This window comes from Homo sapiens, chromosome 22 (genome assembly GCF_000001405.40).
Source record: "Homo sapiens chromosome 22, GRCh38.p14 Primary Assembly".
Lineage (NCBI taxonomy): Eukaryota > Metazoa > Chordata > Mammalia > Primates > Hominidae > Homo > Homo sapiens.
Window position 1 is genome coordinate 36,878,466 of NC_000022.11, and position 14,210 is coordinate 36,892,675.

Sequence of the window (14,210 nt, forward strand, 5' to 3'; positions counted from 1 at the left end):
TGAATCTCCTTCTATCCTAATCTACCAAAAATTAAACAGGTGTGACTCCCACAATGGTGGTGTGAGGAGCTTGGTGGACCCTCTCCCCAGGGAAACAGCAGTTTAACTGATGAGAAATACTTAAAATCAACTGTTTAAAGTCTCTGGAAATTGTTCTAAGGGCACAGAGCACATGGAGAGACAGTCGTTCAAGTAGATCATTACGTCTCAGTAAGAACAGTGAGTCGGTGGCATTGGAGACACATCGTGTTCCCGTCCCCCCACCCCCAGCTCCATGTGATGGAAATTCCACTCCAGATCCTCCACTCTGGATGGATGCAGCCAGGAAGATGGGCTCCCTCATCCCTCAGCTCCTAACCTTCCACAGTTTCACCCCAGGAGGAACAGGCTGCCAGAATCTCTTCTCTCTGCAGCCCTGTGTTGTAGAAGCACTATTCCAGGTCATTACAGCAGAGAGGACTGAGTTTCCTGCAGTTCCCATACAAAGTACCAGGAAATTGAGCTTAAGCAACAGAAATCGATTGTCTCACAGTTCTGAATGCTAGGTGTCCACAGGGCCATGCTCCCTGTGAAATATGTAGGGAAATCCTTCCTTGCCTTTTCTTAGCTTCTGGTGGTTTGCCGGCAATGTTTGGTGCTCCTTAGCTTGTTGATGGATCACTCTGTCTTCACATGGCATTCTACCTGTGTGTATTTACAGTGTCTTCCCTCTGTGCATGTCTGTCTCTGCATCCAAATTCCCCCTTGTATAAGGACACAAGTCATATTGGACTAGGGCCCATCCTAGTGATCTTCTTTTACCTTGATTACCTCTATAAACCTCCTCTTTCCAAATAAGGTCACATTCTGGAGTACTAGGGGTTAGGACTTCAACATGTCATTTTTAATTCCAACATAACACTTCAACCCATGACACTCCCTTTACCCACTCAGCTCCCCCTCCTAGGGCAAGGGCTCTGCAATAGGCGTAGCAGGCTAAGAATGCTGAACCTTAACCCTCTGGTAGAGCAGGGGTTCCATGCTGAGAGGGGCAATCTGAGATCAAGGGATACCGTCCTCCACTCCAGTGCCCACTCACAGAACAGGACATCACTCCTGGAGAAGCAGGCTGATTTCCCCATCCCCAGCTCTGATGCAGTGGTGCAGAGGTTCTGCCCAGGGAGAGAGTCAGGCCTTAGGGATGGAGAATTCCACAGCTTTTCCTGAGGGGACTAACTTTATTTGGGAAGCATGCCGAAGAAGTTGGCAAAAATAATGGAAATCTTGGTGGCCGGCAATTAAGGAGGGGCTAGATACTAATGCCATCAAGAGAAATGTAAGGCCAGAAATTTAACAGAGAACCAGATAAAGAAATAACGAAGAATAGTGGTTCTAGGACTACAGTCATCCCTGAGGACTCAAAAGATTGTGCTCTCGTGCCAGGCTGCACCCACACAGCAGAAATCAGAGTGGAAAGTGTGGCAGACTTGAAATCATTCCCTAAACCACATACAGATCCATCAGCAAAACACGCTAGCTCAAGAGGCTGAAGCATAACCTCTGACCAAGCAATGGCTGAACAATAAGCTAATCTGACACAGAGGGGATTCTTAGGAAGGCAGGCTTAAAAATAAAATTACACTCATTTCCTGGTGGTCTGGAAGACTGCGTGCACGCCCAGGCCGATCACTCTCAGGAGTGACTGGAGAAAGAAACGCTGGGCTATCAGTTTCTGACTGAACATGGGGCAAGTTTGAACCCTGTACTGTAAAAGATGTCTTCAAACCACATTCACGGCCAAAAGTAAGGGGTGAAACCAATCTAATTGAGGGGGCTTCAGCACAACTTTTCACCAATAGGTGGTTTATGCAGACCCAGGTGCAACCTCTAGGAAACCAGGATAAGAGAGAAAAAAAAAAAAAAAAACACAAGAGGAAAAAATACGAGCGGGGGCATCATAAGCTACACATTGTAGGGGAAACGGCCCTCACAAAATTAGTTCAGTGAAGCCACTAAACAAGTAAACAGATAACAAACCAAATAACAAAAACATTAAGCCCTAGAGGGAATAGGAGAGCAGCATCTAGAGTTGCTTCAAAATATAATCTAAAATGTTCAGTTCCTGATATGGTTTGGATCTGTGTCCCTGCCCAAATCTAATGTCTAATTATAATCCCCAGGTTGAAAGTGGACCCTTATGGGAGGTGGTTGGATCATGGGGGTGGATTCTCATAAATAGTTTAGTGCCATTCCCTCCGTGCTGTTCTTGCGATGGTGAGTGAGATCTGGCCATTTAAAAGTATGTGGCACCTCCTCTTTCTCTCTCTCTTCCCCTGCTCTTGCCATTTAAAACTTGCCCGCTTCCCCTTCATCTTCCACCATCATTGTAAGGTTTCCTGAGGCCTCCTCAGAAGCAGAAGCCACTAGGCTTCTTGTATAGCCTGTAGAACCAAGAGCTAACTAAACCTCTTTTCCTTATAAATTATGCAGTCTCAGGTGTTTTTTTGTTTTTTTGTTTGTTTTTTGTTGTTGTTGTTGTTGTTGTTGTTGTTTTGAGACTGAGTCTTGCTCTTGTTGTCCAGGCTGGAGTGCAGTGGCATGATCTCGGCTCACTGCAACCTCTGCCTCCCAGGTTCAAGTGATTCCCCTGCCTCAGCCTCCTGCGTAGCTGGGATTACAGGCACCCCCAACCTTGCCCAGCTAATTTTTGTACTTTCAGTAGAGATGGGGTTTTGCCATGCTGGCCAGGCTAGTCGCGAACTCCTGACCTCAGGTGATCCACCTGCCTCGGCTTCCCAGAGTGCTGAGATTACAGTCATGAACCACTGCACCCAGCTGGTATTTCTTTATAGCAGTGCAAGAACAGGCAAATATAGTTCCCAACAAAAAATTATAAGAATTGCAAAGACACAGCAAAGTGTAATCCATACACAGGAGGCAAATAAAAGCAGGCAAAGGAAACTAAAAAAATTGCCTTTGAGGGAAGGATTCAGATGCTGGACTTAGCAAACAATGACTTTATATTAGGAATATGTTTAAATAACTAAAGGAAACCATGTTTAAAGAATTAAAAGAAAGTATTGTAACAATGACTCTTCAAATAGAGAATATCAATACAAAGACATAAATAATTTTTTAAAAGAGAACCAAATTGAAATTCTAGAGTTGAAAAGAACAATAACTGAAATGAAAAGTCCACTAGAAAGGCTCAGCAGTAGATTTGAGTTGGCAAAAGAATGTTAGCAGAGAAAGTATAAGCAAACTGAGAGATAGATCAATAGAGATGATGCAATCTTAAGAAAGAAATAAAGAAAAAGGAGTGAAGAAAAATGAGCAGAGCATCAGAGAAATGTGGGACCCATGAAGTGTACCAACATATGCATAATGAGATTACCAGAAAGAGAGGAGAGAAGGAGACAGAAAAAGGATGAAAAGAAATAATGATTGGAAACTTTCCAATTTTTATTTTTTAAAAAACCACCAATCTACATATCCAAAAAGCTCAACAAACTCCAAGTAGTAAAATACAAAGAAAGCCACACTTAAACACATCATAGTCAAAATGTTGAAAGCCAGACATAAAGAGAAAATCTTGAAAGCAGAAAGAGAAAAATGACTCACCGCATAAAAGGGAACTACATTAAGACTAACAGCTGATTTCCTGTCAACCAAGAATCTTACATAAAACAAATCTACCACTCAAAAATGAAGGTGAAATTAAAACATTCCAAAATAAGCAAAAACTGAGAATATTCATTGTTAAGCAGACTTGCCATTACAAAAAAATATTAAAGGAAGTTCACTCTAATGGCTTCATTTTAACTTGATTAGCTCTGTAAAGACTCTATTTTTTTTTTTTTTTTTTTGAGATGGCGTTTCACTCTTGTTACCCAGACTGGAGTGCAATGGTGTGATCTCAGCTCACTGCAACCTCTGCCTCCTGGGTTCCAGCAATTCCCCTGCCTCAGCCTCCTGAGTAGCTGGGATTACAGGCGTGCACCACCACGCCTGGTTAATTTTGTATTTTTAGTAGAGATGGGGTTTCTCCATGTTGGTCAGGCTGGTCTTCAACTCCCGACCTCAGGTGATCCACATGCCCCAGCCTCCCAAAGTGCTGGGATTATAGGTGTGAGCCACTGCACCCAGCTAAGACTCTATCTCATGTAAGATCACTGCATTCTGAGATACTGGGGTTAGAAATTCAACATATCTTTTGGGGGAGAATACAATTTGAACCACAACAGTACACTAGAAAATATCCATTTAAGAAAAATTTTAAAAGACCTTGCAAGGTGTGATCTCCCAAACCCAGTTATTTGGCTTCTAGTTTGTTGCCTGACCACATTCACCAAGAAAATTTTCTGCCACAAAACAACCAGACCTCAGCTAGGACACAGGCTTTGAGGAATTATGAGCCTCACAAGAAGCAAAGGAGTTCTCCAATGATTCTTCCACTCCCCACCAAAAAAACTATGATAGGAGCTGAAACCAGAATACAGAGCAGTTGGGGTGTTGTTTTCTGGAGTGCAGAGGCAGTCCAGAAGGCAGAGCCATGGGGAGGCCATGAGATAGGGAGGCTGCGCCAGGGGCTTCCGTGCCAGGCCAAGGCCCTAGATGTGAGAGCTGAGGTGATCTGGAGAGAGTGGCATTCCTGGCTTCAAGCAGAAGCGGAAGAGGGTCTCCTCTGGAGTAAAGTATTTCCAGTTTAGGCTGGCAGGAGTTACCCTGATTAATATCAAGCAAAAGGCTCATAGTCAAAGATCACCAAATCTCTGTGAGTGAGAATGAGCAGAGGCAATAAACAATAGCTTTAGAGCCCCAGGGACTACCGATTACCGAATTATGTGACTGAAATATTTAAAGAAATAAAGAATGTAACCATAAAGATAAACAAGCAAAAAAGAATGAGATGGCAAATTTTCAGATGTGTAAAAGAAAGAAGGTATGAACGCATCTATGTGTGTGCGTGTGTGTGTGTGTATACACACATATATATTATTCAATGGGTGAGTTGGTAAAAAGTCCAAATTTATCAATAATTCTGATACCATAAACATAGATGGATTCCATGCATGAGTTAAAAGACTGTCAGGGCCGGGCACAGCGGCTCATGCCTGTAACCCCAGCACTTTGGGAGGTAGAGGCTGGCAGATCACGAGGTCAGGAGTTTGAGACCAGCCTGGCCAATATGGTGAAATGCCGTCTCTACTAAAAACACTAAAAAATTAGCCGGGCGTGGTGGTGCACACCTGTAATCCCAGCTACTCAGGAGGCTGAGGCAGGGGAATCGCTTGAACTCGGGAGGCGGAGGTTACAGTGAGCCGAGATCGCACCACTGCACTCCAACCTAAGCGAGAGAGTGAGACTCCGTCAAAAAAAAAAAAAAAAAGACTGTCAGATTGAATTTTTAAAAATCTAAATCTATGTAAGTGTCATATGTACAAGAGACACACATAAGGTAAAACGTCATGGAAACATTGAAATTAAAAAAAAAGTATGAAAAAAGATATTCCTGGAAACCACTAACCAGAAGACAGCTGGGACGTCTATACAGATTCACAATCTACTTTTGTGTAAACTTGGTACTCAAACTCACTTGGTAGCACTCCTTGACCCTGAGCTGAATAGTTAACGCTTACCAGCCATATGTGTCTCTGCTATTCCCTTATTTTTTGATGCTTTTGGGGGGATGAATTTTGATTTTATGTACAGCTCAAGTAAGAACCCGTCAAAATCAGAAGTGAAAAGCTTTTGCTGATAATGAAGCTGATGAAAATTGCATGGGTGGATTTGTTAAGTAACGGTATCTGATGAAAACCTTGGCTCTGATCAATTGGCAGTGGGCTTCAGTCTGCTCTGCAGAATGGCTGATGAGGACCCACCAATTGCTTACACCCTGTTGACTGTTCTTGGCGTACCATGTGCTACAGGAACACACCAGATACATTTGACAGTAACTGGAAAAAGCCTACATCCACCATCTTTGTAGGATGTATCCAATTTACCGTCTGTCAGTACACATACTAGACACCATGAGTAACCAGAGAAATATTTTCTGACTGATTAATAACATTTTTATACCAGCGGTACAAACTCATTGCAGGGATTCTAGCTTGGAAAAAACAATTGTTAGATGTTATCATTCCTAGGAAACTGCTATGCATACTCCCTCCCTAAACATCTTGTGGAAAAGCAGTTTCAGCTTTTATTTCCCCTTGGGGGATATGTGCATTTTAGCCTAAGTGCAAAGAAGTTTAGAGGAAGGGTAAACACTTTTTTTCAGGCTGTGCTCTTGCTACCATCACAGAACCTAAGATTCCATGGCTCCCGAAAGAGTCCAGTGTTAAGAATGTCATGTACACAATTGACAGTGTTTGGAATGATGCTGATTATACATTAACACATTTGACACAGATTCTGACTATACTGATGCTTGCAAACAAGTCTGTACATAAAGGTTTTGGAGAATTTTTGTGACTTATGAGAAAATGATGATGTAAGACTTCATTCTTGCACAAAAAGTTTATCAGCTAAAAGTGGAAATAACTGAGAAAAACTGATACCAAAGAAATGTCAAACACCGTGATTCAGCTATTGTTCATTCTTTGCATAGTGGGGAAGTTGCTAACAAATACAGATAAGGGTTACTGTGATGATAATGACTACACAATTAACACAGAGTAAAACATTCCCATTAAAAATATGGTGAATATTTAATTAGTTAATTATGGGCCTTGAGCAATTCTCAATTAATGGTGAGCAGGAGATAATGGAAAATTACCCAATTAGAAACAGGCTTCTCAAGTAGGCATCTCATGGAATAGGATGCTGGAAGAAGTCATTAAAAAGGCAATTGATTGCAGTGTGCTTCTTGGTTTGGGGACCCTGTTCCTGGTACATCATGAGATGTCCAGGAGGGAATATCTGGCATCCTCAAGTTAAGATAATTCAAGGTGTGTTTAATAAAGGGACTGTTTACAAAGACGTAGACAACACACAGGAAAACCTCAAGGAATAGTTCAATATCCCAGGGATAGGACCTCAGACCTGTTACATTCCTGAGCCCAAAGGAATAAAGGGAAGGAGTGTCTACAAAACCTGGAAGGAGGGGATTGTGTAGACATGGCCTCCTTAGAAGGACTGGTGATCTTTGACTGGTGGGCGAGATTGACCCAAAGTAACCCCGCTGGGAGGCGATCAGAGGAACAAATACCCCGCCCTCCTCTCCTTCCCCATTCTGATCTCAGGGGAGGGGTTCCCTACTGCCAAACAAAACTGGAAGCCCTAGGGCCAGGCTGTTGTAATCCACACAGGTTAGCTTCCCAAGGTAGACAGCAGGGCGGAAGAGAGCACAGTGTAGATGTGAGTGGGGAAAAATGAAGATATCTGGCATCCTCCACCCGTTTTGCCCCTCATTATATACGCTTATCCTTCAGCCAAGTGAAAACTCCATGTTCCCAAGACAGGGAACACAGGAATTCCCATCAGCTATTTTGGCATTTTAGGATCATATCCATACAGACATACTCCCACCTGAAACCCAAAGTGTGAGCTGCTACGGGTATTCTTTATATAAAGCAGTGGAGGCATGATGAATGAAGTAATATACGCATGGCTGTTAGAGCCCCTGCATCCGCAGCTGGTCACAGGTCCAAAGCTGATATTTTGAGCTACCTGTTCCCAGTGTTCATTTCATGTTCCTCTTTCCTCTGCCAGTACATGGGTCAAATAAGGGTCTTTATGTGGTGGAGCAACTCAAGACTTCATTCCTATGGGATCTGAGTTCTCGTTAGACTTGTCTTTATCAGATTGCCTCAGTATTCCATTGACCAGGACTATTGGGTAAGAAAATACTGAGAGGCACCTATGTGAATCACGGTGGGACCACACATAGTCCTGTCTACCTCCTTTCTTTTTTCTTTTCTTTTCTTTTTTTTTTCTTTTTTTTTTTTTTTTTTTTTTTTTTTTTTGAGATGGAGTTTTGCTCTTGTTGCCCAGGCTTGAGTGCAGTGGCACAATTTCAGCTCACTGCAATCTCTGCCTCCCGGGTTCAAGTGATTCTTCTGCCTCAGCCTCCCAAGTAGCTGGGATTACAGACACCCAGCACCAAGTCCAGCTAATTTTTTTTTTGTTGTATTTTTAGTGGAAACGGGGTTTCACCATGTTGGCCAGGCTGGTCTTGAACTCCTGACCTCAGATGATCCACCTTTCTCCACCTCTTTCTCCACCTATTGGCTCAGTGGCACAAGGAGGGTCAAATGGTTCAAATTTCTAAAAAATATCACTTTGTATATGCCACAAGTTTTCATATGCCCTATTGTCATTTGATTGTAACTACTATTTAAATTCAATTAGGATATTATCTGAGCTATCAGTTACTTAGAAGTGTGTTTTAAAATTTTTAAACATGTGAGGATTTTATTTTTTGTTTGTTTGTTTTTGGGGGTTTTTTTGAGTTGGAGTCTTGCTCTGTCGCCTAGGCTGGAGTGCAGTGGCACAATCTCGGCTCACTGCAACTTCTGCCTCCCGCGTTCAAGCGATTCTCCTGCCTCAGCCTCCCAAGTAGCTGGGATTATAGGGATGCACTACCACACCCAGCTAATTTTTGTATTTTCAGTGGAGATGGGGTTTCACCATGTTGGTCAGGCTGGTCTTGAACTCCTGACCTCAAGTGATCCACCCACCTCGGCCTCCCAAACTGCTGGGATTACAGTTGTGAACCACCATGCTTGGCCATGTGAGGACTTTAAAAAAACACTTTTTTTTCTTTTTCTTTTTAAAGTATCCTTGCACGTTTTGTGCAGATTCATTTGTCTTTCATGTCCTTCAGTTTTAGAGACCTAGACAAGCTAAGGGAGTGAATCAAAATCAACAGATAACAAGGGTGAGGTTTCTCAAACTGAAGCATCCTGTTTACGTCTGGTAAAACCACCTCCACAGAACATCATGCGTCGTCAGGTATAAGGCCTAACACCTGTGGTGTGTAGTGATACAGCATTTTATCTCTTCCTTGTAGCCCATGAAATAAAGAGAAAGTTTGTTCAAGAGATGATGGTAGTTTTCACTGCACTAGAGTGTTACAAGAAAGTAAGTGAGAACAATAACCCCAGGACAGGGAGGCTGCTGCTCACTGCTCCAGCATCTGCAGCATTCTCCTGAGGGGACACATTAAGGCAGCAGAGAGACATTTCCCAAAATAAACAGCGAGGGAAATAAAGGTGTAGGAGTCACAGTGAGGAGGCTAAAGTGACTCCATCTTGGAAGCTAATCCACCATGTTGACTTCTGATTAACCCCGGTTCTGGGAATGCCGCTAAGATTTCCATTTTATCTATTGTTCTTTGTGTGAGAACATATGCCTACCATAAATCCTGCCTTTAGATCAAATTAAGCGTGCTACCCTTTCTTTATGGTGTATAATCCCTGGGTCTGGGGGATAATAGTGTAGAGATCTACCTGTCTCACAGCTGCCCAAGACCATCCTTCAGTCCCTAAGTTCCCAAATAAAACCATCCTATAACAAGCTGGATTCGTCTGCTTCCTTCTTTGGTATCCTGGCTCCTATGTTTGCAGGTCACTTTGCATATACAGGCTTAAAAAAACACTTTTAATAGTCAAATATAACAATACAGAAAGTACATAAAAGAAAAATAGCTGAAAATTAACAAGCTAAACTTCCAAAATCAGAAGTAAAAAAACAAAAACAAACAAACAATAGAATTAGCTCAAGGAGAGAAGTAAAGACATAAAGATAAGGCCAGAACTCAAGATCACCACAACCAACAACAAAAAATACAATAGAAAAGGTCAACAAAGCCAAAATTGGGTTCTTAGGAAAGACTATGGTAAAACTGATGAAGATAAAAAGAAAGAAGAAAAAATAGTATTAGGAATGTAAATGAACCATAATTATAGATGAAACAGAGGTTTAAAATACACTGAGAATTTCGTCAAAAGCTTTATATTCTAAATTTTAAAATTTAGGTTAAACAAATACTTAGAATAGTATAATTTGGTTTAAAAAATCAAGAGAATAGAGAGACTGAATTTTCCTTTAACTATTAAATACATTGAAGTTGAAATGTTGCCTCCCCAGGCACATACAGTTTTATGGGCAAGTTCTACCAAACGTTAGAACAGCAGATTATGCTAACATTACAAAAAAATCTTCCAGAAAATAGAAGATAGACTATTTCCCAACTCATCTATGCAGCCAGAATAATCTTCTTGCCTGTCTTAGTCTGTTTTGTGCTTCTATAGCAGAATACCACCGATTGGATAATTTATAAAGAAAATAAATTTATTTCACACAGGTCTGGAGGCTGGGCAGTCCAAGGTCAAGGCACCGGTAGATCAGGGTCCAGTTTCTCTGTTTCCAACATGGCATCTTGAGCGCCGCATCCTCCAGAGGGGAGGAACACTATGTCTTCACATGGCAGAAGAGCAGAAAAGGAAAAGAGTAAATCCATTCCTGCAAAGCCTTTTTATAACAGTATTAATCCATTAAACACCTCCCAAAAACTTCCACATTCCAACACTGTGACATTGGAAATTGAGTTTCCAACACATTAATTTTAGGGGACACATTCAGACCACAGCAATTCCCAAATATGCAAAAGCAGTACAAGTAGTAAAAATTATAAATCAATCACATATATGAAGATAGAGACTTTAGCAAACTAAATTCAGCAGGAAACACACATACACACAAAGACAATATAAATGCCTACATTAGGTTTAACCCAGACATACAAGGAAAGATTTGCATCTAAACATGTATAAGTACTATTCATGCCGGGCGCGGTGGCTCACGTCTGTAATCCCAGCACTTTGGGAGGCCGAGGCGGGTGAACCACGACGTCAGGAGATCGACCTCGTTCGGCGGGTGGACCACGAGGTCAGGAGATCGACCTGGCTAACACGGTGAAACCTTGTCTTTACTAAAAACACAAAAAATTAGCCGGGCGTGGCAGCAGTCGCCTGTAGTCCCAGCTACTCGGGAGGCTGAGGCAGGAAAATGGCGTCAACCCGGGAGGCGGAGCTTGCAGTGAGCCGAGATCGCGCCACTGCACTCCAGCCTGAGCGACGGAGCGAGACTCCGCCTCAAAAAAAAAAAAATTATTCACCACCACATAAAAGAATAAAGGAGAAAAACTATATGATCAACTCAACAGATGCGGGGAAAATAATTTGATACAATTCAAGACCTATTCATGAATTTAAATTAAACGCACGTGCACATACCCACACACCTCTTAGTATACTGGGAATAAAAGCGATGCCTTTCATTTAATAAAGGCTGTCTTCAAGAAAATCTGCAGCAAACATCATTCTAACATTTAGTAGGAGCACATTTGAATATAGCAGCAGTTCCTTTACATGGTAGAAAGGCAAGAATGTCCACTATCGCTCATCTACCAACACTGGAGGCCCCAGCCACGCAGCATGGCATTAAAAAGAAATAAAAGCCTAAGAATTGGAAGGCAAAAGCATATCTGTCATTATTCACATTTGCTATAATCGTCTACATTGAAAACCCAATAGAATGTATAGGCAAATCATTCACTGTGATAAGAGTGCGTCACTGTGTGGCTGATTATGCTAACATTAAAAGTTGATTGCCTTTCTAGACGACAGCAATAAATAATTTGAAAAGAATTCTTAAAAGAGATGCCATTTACAACATCAATAAAACCTTAACGTACTTGGAAATAAATCTAACCAAAGGTAGGCAACACCTGTATGTAGAAAATGGTAAAACTTAACTGAAAGATTAAAGAAAACTGAAATAAATGGAGAGACAACCCATGTTCATGAATAGGAGGCTAATATTGCACAGCTGCCAGTTCTCCCAACTGATCTATAGCTATCCATAGGTTTGATGCAAATAGAAAAAAATCCCAATAATTTATTTCTTCTTTTTGTTTTATTTTGTTTTTGTATATATTTTCATAAACTTTTTCTAACATTTATATAGAAGAGCAAAGGACTTGAAATAGCCAAGTTACTCCTGAAGATGTATAAAGTGATGGGAGATGACCTCTAGAATAGCAAGAATTATTATAAAGCAATGGAAATGAAAACAATGTAATATTGTCCTAGGGACTGATCATTTATCTATGGAACAGAATAGAGAGCCCAGAAATACTTGATATGTGATAGAAGTAGATTTGGCCGGGCACAGTGGCGCACGCCTGTAAACCCAGCAATTTGGGAGGCTAAGGCGGGCAGATCATAAGGTGAAGAGTTTGAGACCAGCCTGACCAACATGGTGAAACCCCTTCTCTACTAAAAATACAAAAATTAGTCAGGTGTGGTGGCATGTACCTGTAATCCCTGCTACTCAAGAGGCTGAGGCAGGAGAATCGCTTGAATCCGGGAGGCGGAGGTTGCAGTGAGCCAAAATCACACCACTGCACTCCAGCCTGGGTGACAGAGTGAGAGTCTGTCTCAAAAAAAAAAAAAAAAAAAAAAAAAAGGTAGATTTGCAGATTAGTTGGGGGAAGAGAAATCAAATCACATAATGGTGCTTGGGCAATTGCTAGGCCATATGGAACACAAAACAAATGAGATTGGATCCCTAACTTAAACCATTCCAAAAGGCAACTTATGCATTAAACTGTAAGACAGAAAAGTAATACTTTGAGAAGATATATAGGATGCTATCTACCAAATCTTGGGATAGAGAACAATTTCATAAAGAAAACAAAAATAAATAAATATTAATAAATTTGATTACATTAAGCTCAAGATGTTCTCATCATCAAAAGTCACAAGAGAAGAGGCACAGTGGCTCAGCCTGTAATCCCAACACTTGAGAAGGCCCAGGTAGGAGGATTGCTTGAAGCCAGAAGTTTGCAACTAACCTGGGGAACAAAGCTAGACCTTGTCTCTATAAAAGAAATGTTAAAATTAGCTGATGTGCCTATAGTCCCAGCTACTCAGGAAGCTGAGGCAAGGGATCACTTGAGCCCAGGAGTTCGAGGTGGCAGTGAGCTACAACTGCACCACTGCTTTCTAGCCTGGGTGACAGAGGCCCTGTTAAAAACAGAACAGAACAAAACAAAACAAAAAACAAAAAGAAGACACAAGGAAGAGAAAAGATAAGCCAAAGACTAGAAGATATTTGCAAGATGTGTAACTGACAAAAGATTAGTATCTAGAATACATAAAGAATTCCCACATATTAATAAGAAAAATAAGGACAACTATATAAAAAACGGGCAAAGCCATGATTAGATATTCCAGTAAAGAGGAAAAAAAATGGTCAATAACTATATAAAAAGATACTCAGTAGTAATAAGAGGAGTGCAAACTGGTTCAATCTCTGGAAGACAGTTTGCAATTTTTTTGTAGAGTTGAACATTCCCATATCTTATGACTCAGCAATGAAACTTGCACATGACCCTGGGACATAAGCAAGAACATTCATGACAGCTCTCTTCCTAATAGCCCCCAACAAATGTAAGCAACCCAAACATCTGTCCAGAGAAGAGTAGGTTCATACAGTGATTATAGCACAATGACAACATGAATGATTCTTAGAAATGTAATTGAATGAAAAATCAACTATCAGAAGATAAGATTCTATTTTTTTAAAGCTCAAGTACTATAAACAGAAATAGCAGATACAAAATTCAAGATAGTGGTTATTTTTGGGAGGGAGGTAGCAAAGGCATAGGAGAGGAAGACATAGGTAAGTATCAGTAACAGGTACTGAAATTTGTTGGAATACTTGGGGTTGAGTGGGTGGGGGAGTGGGTTCACAGCTGTTTATTATACTTTATGGCTTACATATAGGTTACACATAATCTTTTGCATGTATCAAATATGACATTAAAGGTAACATATAGTTTACAAGCTTAAAAATCGGTTTCCATAAAAGATTCTTATTCTCCAGTTTTCAGAGCTTTGACTTCATTTGGCATAAATTAATTACTTTGATCTGTTATGCCAGGAGAGCATTGCTGGCCACGTGGTAGGAGTGGGGTTTTCCTGAAAGACAGGGTGGGATGAGGCTGTGGTGAGCCTCCCCTTGGAGAGGAAATGGTGAGGCAGGAGTCCAAGCCTAGCATTGCTGGCTGGAGGGACCTGGAGCTCTCTTCCCAGGCTGAAAACTTTGGGACTTTCCACCTTTGAAGTTCTGGTTAATATTCTGTTTCCCTGCAAACAAGTGCAGGGAATAACCTTACAATAACCATGGGCTGGAGGTTTGTCCTTAGGGGGAAAGAG

General features: G+C 41.3%; 1 long non-coding RNA gene across 1 annotated transcript, besides 1 other annotated feature; it reads right to left on the reverse strand.

Moving 5' to 3' along the window:
• Positions 505–697: a silencer, noted in NCBI's record as "fragment chr22:37275012-37275204 (GRCh37/hg19 assembly coordinates)". NCBI's record gives its function as "represses an EF-1alpha promoter that drives an FKBP-Casp9 reporter gene in an ReSE screen in HepG2 liver carcinoma cells {active_cell/tissue: HepG2}" and the evidence as "EXISTENCE:reporter gene assay evidence [ECO:0000049][PMID:32094911]".
• Positions 9,563–10,839, reverse strand: LOC105373022 (uncharacterized). Its single transcript, XR_938229.2, has 2 exons — positions 10,731–10,839; positions 9,563–10,404 (listed from the first exon to the last, which is right to left on the reverse strand). It is a non-coding gene; the product is annotated as an uncharacterized LOC105373022 (long non-coding RNA).
• Positions 10,840–14,210: the final 3,371 nt, after the last annotated feature.